General features: G+C 37.6%; 1 protein-coding gene and 2 long non-coding RNA genes across 3 annotated transcripts in view; 2 read left to right on the forward strand and 1 right to left on the reverse strand.

The window, feature by feature from the left end:
- CPQ (carboxypeptidase Q) overlaps positions 1–2276 on the forward strand; it is a 498260-nt gene extending 495984 nt beyond the window's left edge. Inside the window, exon 8 of the mRNA NM_016134.4 lies at positions 1795–2276. Coding sequence (NP_057218.1) covers positions 1795–1958 — 164 coding nt within the window. The 3' untranslated portion in view covers positions 1959–2276. The remainder of the gene's footprint in view (positions 1–1794) is intronic.
- Positions 1–14563, reverse strand: part of LOC101927066 (uncharacterized) — a 494634-nt gene that overhangs the window by 189362 nt on the left and 290709 nt on the right. The window lies entirely within an intron of this gene.
- The window catches only part of LOC105375655 (uncharacterized), a 34037-nt gene continuing 28747 nt past the window's right edge, over positions 9274–14563 (forward strand). Inside the window, exon 1 of the long non-coding RNA XR_928434.3 lies at positions 9274–9447. This is a non-coding gene — a long non-coding RNA (uncharacterized LOC105375655). The remainder of the gene's footprint in view (positions 9448–14563) is intronic.

Below are 14563 nucleotides of genomic sequence, written 5' to 3' on the forward strand. Positions count from 1 at the left end.
ACACACACTAAACAGGGTAAAGAGATGAGCCACAAACTGGGAAATGATATATACAAACTTACTAACAGAAGTGTCTAAATTATGCCAAGAACTCTTACAAGTCAATAAGAAAAAGACAAATCCATTGAAAAATGGGCAAAATGCATGAACAAGAACTTCACAAAAGAGAAAACACACATAAATGACAAAAAAATCCACATGTAAAAACATACTTAATCTCACAATTAGTTTCTTTTAAAACTGAAAATGAAATGTTAGCATTTCACACTCACCAAATTTACAAAAATTAGTTTGACAATATCAAGTGCTGTAGACTATGTGAAGCAAGAGAATGACTCATATACTAACAGTGTAAGTGTAAATTGAAAAGGAAAACATTTTGGAATTGCACGGTAAAATTGAACACACACATACTCTATAGCCCAGCAAACCACTCCTACATTCAAAGCCTTGATAGTGTTGGTAGCAGCACGTAATAGAAAACTGGAAACCACCTAAATGACCATTGTTGGTAAAATGGATAAATAAATACAAAGAGGTAATATACTGCAATAAAACATGAAAATACTAGAGCTATACACAACAGCATAGATAAATCTTATATATGTTTGAATGGAAAAAGCAAGCTAAAGAAATATATCTGGAGGATATGGTTCAAAAGTAGGCAATATTAAACTGTATATCTGTACACGTATAATTGTTATATATAGTCATATACATATATGTGGTAAAGTATGAAGTGGTAAAACTGTAGAAAAGCAAGGAGTAATTAAGAGGCAAGACAGGCTAGTGGGTACCTCTGGAGGGAGGAAAAGATCTGCAGTGGGCAGGGGTGTCATAAATGGGTTTCCAAGATACTGGTGATATCATTCTTGCATTAAATTATGGACATATATGTACTTATTATTTTCACCCTTTATAATATACATTTATGTTCTGTACAATCTTATGTGTGTATGGTATATTTCACAATAAAACAGTCAACCAACCAATCAATCAAGCTAGCTAGAGGCTAAAGAACTGAAACTAGAATCCATAAGATGGGTCTAGTAGGTTTTCAAGGATAAATAAGAGACAATGAAGTTTCCCTGAGGCTATGATCCATGACTGAAACTAGCAAAAAGCTTCACACTTGAATGAGAAGAAAGCTTTGAAGCAGGGCAGAGACTCCTGCTGGTGCCCTTGGAGGTTGCTGGGGATGTTATAACTCTAGGAAGTAAATGGATGATTTGAGAAGGAAAACTTGAACAAAGGGGTATTGGCTTTCTTTTGTAACCAGGAAGGTACATAATTTGCAAACGTGCAGATACAAAGAAGATACTGTCTTTTTATAAATATGAGGCATTTGTCTCAGTTACTTATACAAATAAAAGTTTATTTTCCCTTATATCACAGGAAATCCAGAAGAAGGCAGTGCAGAGCTTGTTGAGAGAGTTAGCAATATTTTCCAAATGTAGGCTACTTCCACTCTGCCATTTTTAGTTTAGGGGCTTTTTGCCCCATGCAGCTCCAAAGTTCTCATCTGCCTTGAATGCAGCATTAGGGATATTTTCCCAACTCTTTGTCAACGAAGTTAAAGGCTTTTCTAGAACTCATCCACAGCCGGCTACTCACATCATAGTCATCTGAATGGTGACACATGGACATTTCTTGCAGCAAGAGAGCCTGGAAAAGTAATTATTTTGCTATTGCAGACTGTATAATAGGAGCAGGCAAAAGTGAAGGGGGAGAGGTGTGTATTCAGCAGTGTCTGTCAAAATACTCCACTAAGAATTCTTCCTCTTTTATCCCCAGGAGCCAGTCTACTTGATGACTTATACAAGTATTTCTTCTTCCATCACTCCCACGGAGACACCATGACTGTCATGGATCCAAAGCAGATGAATGTTGCTGCTGCTGTTTGGGCTGTTGTTTCTTATGTTGTTGCAGACATGGAAGAAATGCTGCCTAGGTCCTAGAAACAGTAAGAAAGAAACGTTTTCATGCTTCTGGCCAGGAATCCTGGGTCTGCAACTTTGGAAAACTCCTCTTCACATAACAATTTCATCCAATTCATCTTCAAAGCACAACTCTATTTCATGCTTTCTGTTATTATCTTTCTTGATACTTTCCAAATTCTCTGATTCTAGAAAAAGGAATCATTCTCCCCTCCCTCCCACCACATAGAATCAACATATGGTAGGGATTACAGTGGGGGCATTTCTTTATATCACCTCTTAAAAACATTGTTTCCACTTTAAAAGTAAACACTTAATAAATTTTTGGAAGATCTCTGATTTTTATGTGTTCATTTATGAACATTAAATACGAAAATATTATGGTTTATATTATTTATTGAAGGAGTAGAGGAATTACTCAACTTTAGTATGCTCTTAATTGAATATATGGAGGCATTTGACTTTCTAATTTGTATATTTTTATATTATGTGAATTTTAAAAATGAGCTTTGGAATTTTTTAATTTATAGAAAAAAAGGATATCATTTGGGGAAAAAATCAAGAATGTATAATTCAATTGCCTTATTAAAGGTAAATACTAGGGTCTGTCACTAGATAAATAATAATGCTATTTTGCATTTATGTTTTGTTATTTTACACAACATTTCCATGAAGTTGGGGCTTATTCACAATTTGCTGATGACATGGTTGGAGCTCAGAGAGGCTCAATAATATTTACAGAGTCGTCTAGAGCAAAAACATTAATCCCCATCCTCTCTGGAGCCAATTTCTACTATTCTGCCTCACACAACATCCAATATTCAATAAAAAATTACAAGACACACCGAAAAAAGAAGAAGAAATAAACTTATTGTCAAGAGATAAAGCAATTAAGAGAACAAGACTAAGAGATGACCCAGAAGTTTGAACGATCAGAGGAGTTTAACCTAACTATGATGATTATGTTAAAGGTCTAGTAAGAAAAATGGACTACACACATGAACAGAAGGGGAATTTCAGCAGAGCTGGAAACCATAAAATGGAGTCAAATACAAATGTTAAAAAATGCAATGTCAGAGATATAAAATTTTTTTGTCAGACTCATCAGCCAATTGGACAAGGCTGCAGAGAGCATTAGTGGACTTGTATGTAGGCCAATGGAAATTATCCAAAAAGAGAAGAAAGAGTAAAAAAAAAAAAAATGCCAGAGTGAATCATCCAAGAATTGTGATACAATATCAAGTTGTCTAATATGTGTGTAACTGGATTTTCAGAAGGAGAGGACAAAGCATCAATTGTATTAATGATAAAAAAATGATTGAAAGAGTGGGATCTTTCATTTCTGACGAAGTAGCACACCAGTACTCTGACCCTTACACTGAAGATGACTAAAAATGCTAGATAATATTTGAGAAACATCTTATTAAATATATGAATGAACTGATTAACAAGAATATTAGACAAAAGACTAAGTATCGAAAGACTATATACCAAGAGATACATAGAATATTTTTTGCTTTTAAAAGGTTTTTAAACTTTTAAATATATATATATACATATGTGTGTGTGTGCGTGTGTGTGTGTGTACTCTGTTGCCCAGGCTGGAGTGCAGTGGTGCGATCTTGGTTCACTGCAACCTCCACCTCCCAGGCTCAGGTGATCCTCCCACTTCAGCCTCCTGAGTAGCTGGGACCAAAGGGTGCTAAATTTTTTTGTGTTTTTTGTTTGTTTGTTTGTTTGTAGAGATGGGGTTTCGCCACATTGCCCAGGCTGGTCTTGAACTCCTGGACTCAAGCGATCAGCCTGCCTCAGCCTCCCAAAGTGCTGGGATTACATGCATGAGCCACTGCGCTCAGCCTTAAAAACATACATATTTTTTAATTCCAATAGCTTTTTAGGTACAAATGGTTTTTGTTACACGGATGAATTGTATAGTGGTAAAGCCTGAGATTTTAGTGCACCCCTCACCCAACTAGCGTGCATTGTATCCAATATATAGTTTTTTTATCCCTCACCTCCCTCTCATCCTCCCTGCTTCTGAGTCTCCAATGTCCATTATAGCACTCTGTATGCCTTTGTATACCCATAGCTTAGCTCCCACTTATAAGTGAGAACATACAGTATTCAGTTTTCCATTCCTGAGTTACTTCACTTAGAATAATGGCCTCTAGCTCCATCCAAGTTGCTGCAAAAAACATTTCATTCTTGTTTATAGCTTACTCAGCAGTGTTCCATGGTGTATATATACCACATTTTCTTCATCCACTCATCACTTGATGGGCAGTTAGATTGGTTCTATACCTATTCAACTGTGAATTGTGTTGCGATAAACATATGTATGCCAGTGTCTTTTGATATAATGACTTATTTTCCTTTGGGTAGATACCCAGTAATGGGGTTGTTGGATAGCATGGTAGATATACTTTTGGTTCTTTGGGAAATCTCTATACTGTTTTCCGTAGAGGTTGTACTAATTTACATTCCCACCAATAGTGTATAAGCAGTCCCTTCTTACCACATCCAGTCAACATCTATTGTTTTTTGACTTTATAATAATGGGCATTCTGGGGCCAGGCATGGTGGCTCGTGCCTGTAATCCCAGAACTTTTGGAATGCAGGAGGATTGCTTCAGTTCAGGAGTTCAAGACTAGCCTGGACAATATTGTGAGACCTTTACTGTACAAAAAATAAACATAAAAATAAATTAGCCAGGCATGGTGGCATGCATCTGTGGTCCCAGCTACTTGGGAAGCTGAGGTGGGAGGATCTCTTGAGCCCAGGAGGTCAAGGTTGCAGTGACCTGTGATCATGCCACTGCACTCCAGCCTGGGTGACAGCAAGACCCTGTCTCAAAAATAATAATAATGGCCATTCTGACTGCAGTAAGGTGGTATCTCATTGTGGTTTCGATTTGCATTTTCTTGATAATTAGTGATGTTGAGCATGTTTTTATAAGTTTGTTGGTCATTTGGAGATACATAAAACATTGAACAAGCTTTCTCTTTGAGAAAGTTTAAGGAATGTGGTAAACTTAAATTCCATTCAGAGATCAGGAGATTGTAGACAAATTCCAGATTCTGCCACATTAAGGATACTATAGAACTCCAACAAAAATGAGACCCCAAAATATTATACCTCAATACAGTGGTGAACAAAAATAACTCTCAGGTCTGCAAGGAAAGTTACCATGATTGAGTAAAAGCTAAGTAGAGGGTCTGAAGAAATTCCCACTTATAAAGTTAGATAAAATATTAACTCACAACAAAAAGGGGAAAAAAAGAATCACAGCATTCTGAGCAAGAGCAAACAAAAAAAGATCAAGAATTAACCCACAGTGTCCTCTGATATTGGAATTTTTTGGTTAAAATTATTTAAGCTATGTCCATTATTTCAAGGAAGTCAAAGAAGAGTTTGAAAGTAGAATAGAGAGCATGGGACCATAAAAAAAAATGACCAAGCATATTGTAGAAAGAACCAAATAGAACTTTAGGGAATATAAATTATACTCAGTGAAATTTTAAAATTCGGGGACAAATTTAACCAATTTAATGAGAGTTAGTAAACTGCAAGACAATAGTGATGAAATTTATGAGAATTTAGCACAGAAAGACAAAGAATGGAAAATATAAATGAAAGGTTAAGAAATATGAAGGATAGAGTTATATTGTCTAATGTGTTTAATCAGGGTTTCAGAAAAAAGAAAATGGGACAAAGAATTATCTGAAGACATAATAAATCAAAATTTTCCAGAATTTAGATACACAAAATCAAGAAACCCAGTGAATCCCAGACAGAATAAATAAAAAGACATATTTTAGAGAAACTACAGACCAGAAGAGACAAAAGAAGCTCTTTGAAGTAAGAGAGAAGAGATGGACTATCTTGAAAAAAGCAACAATTGGACTTTTAGCTAACTTCTTAACAGCAACAATGCAAGCCAGAAGATCTTCCACATGCTGAGAGACAACAATTATCAACCTAACAACTCTGTGCTCAGGGAAAATATCTTTTGAAAACAAGGACAAAGTAAGGATATTTTTCAGATTAAAAAGTGAAAGAGTTGGCCAGCCATGGTGGCTCATGCCTGTAATTCCAGCACTTTGGAGGGTGAGGCGGGTGGATCACCTGAGGTCAGGAGTTCAAGACCAGCCAAGCCAACATGGCAAAACCCCATCTCTACTAAAAAAAAATACAAAAATTAGCTGGGTATAGTGGCACGTGCCTGTAATCCCAGCTACTAGGGGGCTGAGGCAGGAGAATCGCTTGAACCTGGGAGGCAGAGGTTGCAGCGAGCCAAGATCATGTCACTGCACTCCAGTCTGGGCAACAGAGTGAGACTCTGTCTCAGAAAAAAAAAAAAAAAAAAGTGAAAGAGTTTACTACCAGCAGGTCTTCACTACAGGAAATTAGAAAAAGTGTCCTTTAGGCAAAATTAAATGATTATAGAGTGGACACTAATATACAAGAAGTGAGGAGATTGGCTCCAGGCCAAAATCAAAATCTGTATGTGACTTTCCAGGCCTGACTTTAGGCATTACAAAGGCTTTGCCTGGCAGGCGCTACTGGGAGAAAGCTGCCCCCTTGATGTGGTTTGATTGTGTCCCCACCCAAATGTCATCCTCAATTCCCATGTGTTGTGGGAGGGACCTGGTGGGAGGTAATTTAATCATGGGGGCAGGTCTTTCCTGTGCTGTTCTCATGATAGTGAATAAGTCTCATGAGATCTGATGGTTTTATAAAGGGGAGCTTCCCTGCACAAGCTCTCATTTGTCTGCCACCATGTGAGACGTGCCTTTCACCTTCTGCTGTGATTATGAGGCCTCCCCAGCCATGTGGAACTGTGAGTCTATTAAACCTCCTTTTCCTTATACATTACCCAGTTTCAGGTATGTCTTTATCAGCAGCCTGAAAACAGACTAATACACCTCCCCACAGCTGACTTAGTGCTCTGCCAGTGGGTTACAGTTTTCCAGAAGGAGCTGCAGTCAAGGACTCAGGCCGCCTAGGGCAGCCACCCATTCCTCACCCAAACACCTCCATTCAAGGCCTCCTTATCTTATGACCAAGATACTTTCATCCACTCTGACCCAGTACTTTTCTAGTCCTAGACTTCCCCTACTCCCTTCTGTCAGTCCCCTGGACCATAAAATGTCAGGAGTCATTTGTTCAGGGCTCTTTGGTAGTGAGATGATTTTCCCTGTCTGAGCTGATTCATCTGACCCTTGCCTACTGCCATTCCCTGGGGAAAAAATGGAATGTTAGGAAGCTGGTGCTTATTTTTGCCTCTTGTTTACACTATTTCTGTAAGTGATTAAGGCTTGATTGTTAACTTTCAGTTTGGCTTATTGTTCTGACTGACCACCTAATCCTGGCCACTGGACAGAAATTAAGAGCAAAGAAAGTGATAACCGTTTTAAACAAACATAGAATAAATAAAAACCACAATAATAAGGTGGTATTTGAAAAGAAAACAAGATGGAAAGAATATATTTCACTGGAATAGCATGTGAATAAGACGTGAAGTTACTGGAATTAGTGTTCTAAGGTCCTTTTGAAACTGCCTTTGCAAAATTATAACAGTAAGAAAAATCTGACCTAGTTGACTCCATCTTACTTCTAACCCCAAGCTGTCCTTGGTCATTCCTGGACATAGGCCAAGATAACTTTGAGAGGAATTTAGTTTACAGTTTAACTTAGAAGCAAGAATGATAATAGTCCCTCCCTGAAACTAACCCTCTCCCTGTTCAATGGCTGAAACTGCCTTTGTAAGACTAATGAAAGGCCACAAGATTAGGATTATGGGAGAGGCCCAAGTTCTGCTAAAATGTAGGCATAGTTTCTATAATTTCTTACTGCTCAGGAGTCATGTGGCCAGAGGTCCCAAGATTTATAACTTCCCCAATTGCTTCTATAGGTATCACTGTTGTAGAACCTAAGACTGGGGAGTTTTTTTTTTTTTAGATGTTTTTCAGACTGATCCCATCTGGACTCATGACTCAGCTGGTCCTGTGGCTCTGCCCACAGGTGGCCTCACTGCACAAGGACAGTCTTCCAGTGATGTGATGGCATTCCCAACCAATCAGCTGCACCCATTCCCTAGTCCCCTGCCCACAAAACTGTCCATAAAAACCCTAACCTCTGACCCTTCAGGGAGACTGATTTGAGTGATAACTCCAGTTCTTCTGCATAGCTGGCCTCATGTCAGTTAAACTCTTTCTTTACTGCAATGCCATGGTCTCAGGCAATTGATTTTGTCTGTGCAGTGGGCAGAAAGAATAAATTTAGGAGCTCATATGGGATCCACCCTTGTGGGTGCCTGCTTGCAGTTCATTGGTTCCCCACAGGTCCGACTGACCTGGAGGTGAGCTCTGACGGCCACTTATTTCTCCAGAACTGAGGGTCTCTGCTGATGTCCCTCTGCAGCTGTCCTGCCAGTGAGGCACTGTTGACCCATCGTGCCTGGGCCTAACTGTCATGTAGAAATAGTTTCTGGAAGTCATCTTTAAACTGGTCTGGTGAGTATTCTAAGTGCGACCAACATCCCCTTCCTTCTCCTGACCTAGTTGGCCCCTTCTGTGGGTTCCAGATAGCCTTTTTCTGTGAGTTCATTTGTATTGCTCTAGAACAGGATAAAGATATTGTCTAACTTTAGGCTTTGCTAAGTTAAATATGAAAGTTAAATTTTCTGGCCAGGCGCCTTGGCTCATGCCTGTAATCCCAGTACTTTAGGAGGCTGAGGTGGGCGGATCGCTTGAGGTCAGGAGTTTTTAAGACCAGCCTGGCCAACATGGCCAAACCCTGTCTCTACTAAAAATACACACACAAAAATTAGTCAGGCATGGTGGTGTGCACCTGTAGTCCCAGCTACTTGGGAGGCTGAAGCACGCAATCATTTGAACCCAGGAGGTAGAGGTTGCAGTGAGCTGAGATCATGCCACTGCACTCCAGCCTGGGCGACAGTGGGAGACTCCATCTCAAAAAAAAAGAAAAAAAAGAAAGTTAAATTTTCTCAGGTAACCACAAAAAAGAGAGGTAAAGTGTGTAACAACAAAACAACCTCCCCCACCAAATGGAATGAGAAAAAAAGGCTTAACAAATTTGATATCATATTCTGTGACCACAATGCCACTAATCAACTAAAAACATATATAAGTTTGAAAAATTAGAAACATGACTCATTGAAATAAATAAATGACTTAGTAAATAAAGAAATTATTTAGTAGTTTATGAGTCTGATATGGTTTGGCTGTGTGCTCACCCAATCTCATCTTGAATTGTAGCTTCCATAATTCCCACATGTCATGGGAGGGACCCAGTGGGAGGTAATTGAATCATGGGGGAAGGTCTTTCCCATGCTGTTCTCATGATAGTGAATAAGTCTCATCTGATGGTTTTATAAAGGGGAGTTCCCTTACACAAGCTCTCTCGCCTGCCGCCACGCAAGACATGACTCTTTGCTCCTCATTCGCCTTCAGCCATGATTGTGAGGCCTTCCCAGCCATGTGAAACTGTGAGTCAATTAAACCTCTTTTATGAATTACCCAATCTTGGGTATGTGTTTATTTGCAGTGTGAGAACAGACTAATACGGAGTTACAGAAAGAATTATAATTAAAATTAAAACATATGTACAACTGAATAACAGCTCACACACAGACAACACTTTCATATCAAAACTTGTAGGATGCAGGTAGGCAGTTTCTTAGAGGCAAAGTTACAGTTCAAAATGATAAAAATTTTAAAATAAGCTAATAAACCCAAAGAAAGAATTAGGGATTATTGTTTATTCCCTAATTATTTGGTTTATTCTGCTATACTTTTTTTCCTCCAATTAAGAAATAGCAGAATAAACCCAAATAAAGAATTAAGGCATAAACAATAAATATGAGTAGAAGTGTGTGAAATAGATCACAAGCCTTCAGTAGAAAGGATCAACAAAGCCAAAGATTTGGCTCTTTGAAAATACTGAAAATTACTGATTAAAAGCTTTATGCCAATAATTTGGAATCTTGAATAAATGCACCAATGTTTAGAAAAAAATGTGATTACTTAAATGAGTTGATGAATAAACTTCATATTTTAATAGCTCTAGAAACATTAAATAAATTGAATCACTAGTTTAAAATGTACCCCCCACCACATAAATTCTTTAGTTTTATAAGTAAGTTCTCCCAAACTTTAAATAAATAATTTCAATTTTACAAAATTATTTTACAGTATAGAAGAAGGACTAATTAATTCTAAGCTCATTTTATGAGACTAGTACAATCTTAACACCAAAATCTAATTAAGGACCGTTTGGAAAAATCACAAGCCAACTTCACTCATGATTATAAATGAAAAAATTGAACAAAATATTAACAAACTGCATCTATTAGTGAAAGAAAAAGAGAATAAATGATGACAAAGTTGAGTTTCTGCCAGATATGCAAGATTGGTTTATCATTAGAATATCAGTTAATTTAATTCATCACATTAACAAATTTAAAAGAGAAAAGTTATCCAATCATCTCTAGATGCAGAAAAAGAGTCACATAAAACCTGGAATCCATTTATGGTAAAAATTAAAGAAGACATTCTTACCCAGATAAAAAGCGTCTACAAAAAAAGCTAAAGAAATATCATAATTAACATGAAATGCTGAAAATATTTCTTTTAAGGTAAGAAATAAACTAAGGGTGTTCACAGTAACTACTTCTATTTGGTAGTACTTGGATATTCTAGCTTCCACAGACGGGAGAAAATGTATAAGCAATGGAAAGGAAGAAAGAAAACTGTTTCTACTTGTAGACAAATATGATTGCCTACATTGAAAATTCAAAAGAATCTACCAAAAAAGTATCATAATTAAAAATGGGGCTTAAGAAGTTTGCTCAAGAAAAGAAATTTTAAAAAATGAAAAATATTTCTAGACAAATACTTAGAAAACGCAACTAAAAAGATATCATTTACGTTTGCATCAAATAATATAAAATGTTAGCTGTGTTCATTGGCACACACCAACATTCCTGTAGTTCCAGCTACTAGGGAGGGATGAGGCAGGAGAATCACTTGAGTCTAAGAGTTCGAGGCCAGCCTCTGCAACATAGGAAGACCCTGTCTCTAAAAATAATAATAATGTAAAGAGTCTAGAAAAAAATTTTATGATGAGAGATTGTTTTATGGATAAAAATTATCAAACTTTATTAAAATATATTAAAGTAGAGCTAAATAGTTAGAGAAATATGACATTCATGTTTTGGAAGACTCCATAGCAAAGATGTTCATTTTCCCCAGATTTATCTATGGAGTCAATACAATCTCTATCAAAATTTTACAATGGAGTGTTTTGGCTTTGAGTTCTTGATTTTGGTTTGTTGGTTTGTTTATTTAATGTGTCAAGCTGAATCTAAAGTGTAATTGGACTACTAAGGGCTAATAACAGCCAACTATTTCTGAAAAAAAAACAATAAAAGTAGGGGATCATAGCCCCTTATTCCACTTTCCTTCAAGGCAAGATTGTACTTTCCTGATTTCTTGTAATTTGGTATTACTATGTACTTTTGGCAAATGAATATAAGCAAAAATCAGCAGGTGTTTTGTTTTGGACTTAACTGTTGGGTGTTCAATGAGAAGAGCTTCTACACAGGACTTACAGAAAAAGAGCAAAGCCCAAATATTAAGCAACTAAAACTCATGTTTCAAAGAGATCATACACCTCTGAGTGGAAATTGTAAAATTCCCTGTATGGTTTGCCATACTGTCTCTTTCTCCAAGGCAAATGGCAATGTTTCAGATAATGCCTGCTCCACAAGCTTGGATCCAGAGTGATAAGAAGGAATGACAGAGCTTCCAGTTTATTCACAATGGATGTGAAGCATGACTAAGAAATAAATTTCTGTTGTGTTAAGCCACTAATAATTTTGTGGAGGTTTTGTTGCCACAACATAATGTAGCCTATTCTGATTTTTTATCTTGTCTTGCCAGATGTCAAGACTTAACTTATTGTCTTTAAGATGGCATAGCATTAGCAAAACGATAAGTGAGTAGTCCAATGGGACAGACTAGAGTTCAGATCCAGAACCACATATGCAAAAACTTGATTTATGACAGGTTGGTATAGATGATCTGTAAAAAAAAGGTGGACTTTTCAATAAATGTTACAACAGTTATCTATAAGTAAACGTTTAAATTGGACTGCTACCTCATACCTCCTCTGCAGTCTTTTGTTAAGAACAGTTGGAAAACAAGTGGTTGTTTCCCTAATTTAAGGGCACCAAGAACAGTGCCCAGTACATAGTAGGTCCACAATATGTGTCCCCTGATTGAGGAATGTTAGCTGCTTCTATTTTACAGCAAATTCATTTCTCAGTTCCATTCCTCCTTCCTTCCCTTTTTTGAAGTAATGGTGGAGACAAAATGAAAATTTCCATCAAGAAGCCCTGTCAAGAGAGAGCTAGCCTGAGTGCCTTTCCAGGAAAGTCCTGGAATTGTCTTAAGAGAGAAGAAACTCTTAGGAAGGAAATATGGAAACTACCAAAGAGGGAGGTCATTATCACAATTGTGCTTTAGGTGGTATCATTCATATCCTATCTTCACGAAAGGAAACAAGTGGTCAGAAATGGAGATTTGTATTGGAGACACCACTCAGTAACCCACATGAGTAATAATTTCTATCACAGTGGCCCTTGATGACACAAGGAAATATTTTGAGTGATTAATATTGGTCATGTAGCATACAAGATGGTGTCTTTCAGCTCAATCCAAAAGACAGTCAGTCACTCTCAGGTTCATGCGGGATTTAGATATGTAGCATGTCCTGATTCTTTAACCAAGCTCAATGAGGTGAAACTAGAGCAACATTTAGTCTAGGGCTAATTTTGCCCCACTACTAAAGCTCAACCCTTCTAAGTACTCTTGATGCTCTATAGATTATGATGTTTTTTCTCTATGACTGAAGGAACAGGAGTTCCTAGTATTATTTTCTATATTCCTTCCAGATTGTTCGTTCCCCAGTTTCTGATCATTTCCGCAAATGCATGAACTGATCAGTACTCACCTGAAGTTGTGGGAAGGTGGGACCCTCTGCAGCTCCCTGGCCTTCTCTCTGTGTGTGGAACTATCCTCCGTGACACTGTGTCCTGTGAATTCTAGCTGCCTCAGCCTCTCTGGACATTCACATTCCTCTTTTCAACTCATGGTGGTTCCTGGGCTCTGCCTGGGTTTCCCTTCCCCACAGTGTAACTGGAAACTCTATTAAGGAAGTAAGCTAGGGCCATCATAGTGCTCACCTCATTCGTTTTCTGCCTGTTGGGCATCATTGCTCCTCATTTCCTGGTGTCTGGTGTCTTGAACACTGTTATTTAATACATTGTATTCGGATTTTTTAATTGTTTCATGCATAAAGGTAAGTCTGGTCCCTGTTACTCCTACTTGGTTGGAAGTGGGTGTCAGACCACTAATTTTTGTCTGACGAATATACTTATATTCCTTTTACATTTAATGCATTTTGATTCATTTTTTTCACAACTTGATTCCAATCTGTGTATGTAGATTCACATAAATTTTCTGAACTGTCCAAAGTCTGCTCAAATATGCAAGATTGGTTTATCATTAGAATATCAGTTAATTTAATCCATCACATTAACAAATTTAAAAGGGCAAAATTATCCAATCATCTGTAGATGAAGAAAAAGAGTCACATAAAACCTAAAATCCATTTATGGTAAAAATTAAAGACGACATCCTTAACCAGATAAAAAGCATCTACAAAAAAAACTAAAGAAATACAATAATTAACATGAAATGCTGAAAACATTTCTTTTAAGGTAAGAAATAAGCTAAGGGTGTTCACAGTAACTACTTCTATTTGGTAGTACTTGGATGTTCTTGGTATCTATGAATTACCACAGTTCAAGGATAATCTGTAGTTTATCTAGTCATCATTATTGGATTTCAGAGTTATTTTCTAGAAAAGTTATATCCAGTTTTATAATTAGCATTAAAAATTCACAGGCTGACTGATTGCCTCCTTTTTGCTTTCTAAGATGGACATTTATGTCCTATTGGACTAAATTTCTTCCCTTTCCTTCAGTAATAGCAAAGAGTAACTTCTTATAGGAACACTGCCACACCAATGAGCTCCACCTCCCTTTGACTTGGGGCTGCTGTGCTTTCTGCTTATCAGCTCTGAGCAACATCTTAGATTATCCCCATAGATGGTGGAGCCCAGAGTAAGTTAAATTCTGTATTCTCCACTCACTGCTACCACCACCTACCCCAGTCACTCCAGAATTTTAGGTTTCAGAGCAACTTTAGAAGAGAGAAACTCACAAAGTTGTATTATAGTCTCAAAGTTCCACCAGCTGCTGGCAAGATCGTCATTTCCTCCCCCACTGCCTCCTGAGTCACTGTACCATTCTAGTTCCTCCAGGGAACTAGACCCTTTCTCCACCTCCACCTTTGGCATAGGGTTAGGGATTGTACCCCCATTGCCTTATCCTACAAGTGGCTCTGAAGAAATGGATCTTATTCATTCTCTCCGTAAAATTGTCTGTTTGCTTAGCAACAACAACAACAAAAAATTATATGGGGCCAAATGATAACATAAACGGCCCATTTTCTAGCTGGGCCCCTTTACTGCTGCCT

This window comes from Homo sapiens, chromosome 8 (genome assembly GCF_000001405.40).
Source record: "Homo sapiens chromosome 8, GRCh38.p14 Primary Assembly".
Taxonomy (NCBI): Eukaryota; Metazoa; Chordata; class Mammalia; order Primates; family Hominidae; genus Homo; species Homo sapiens.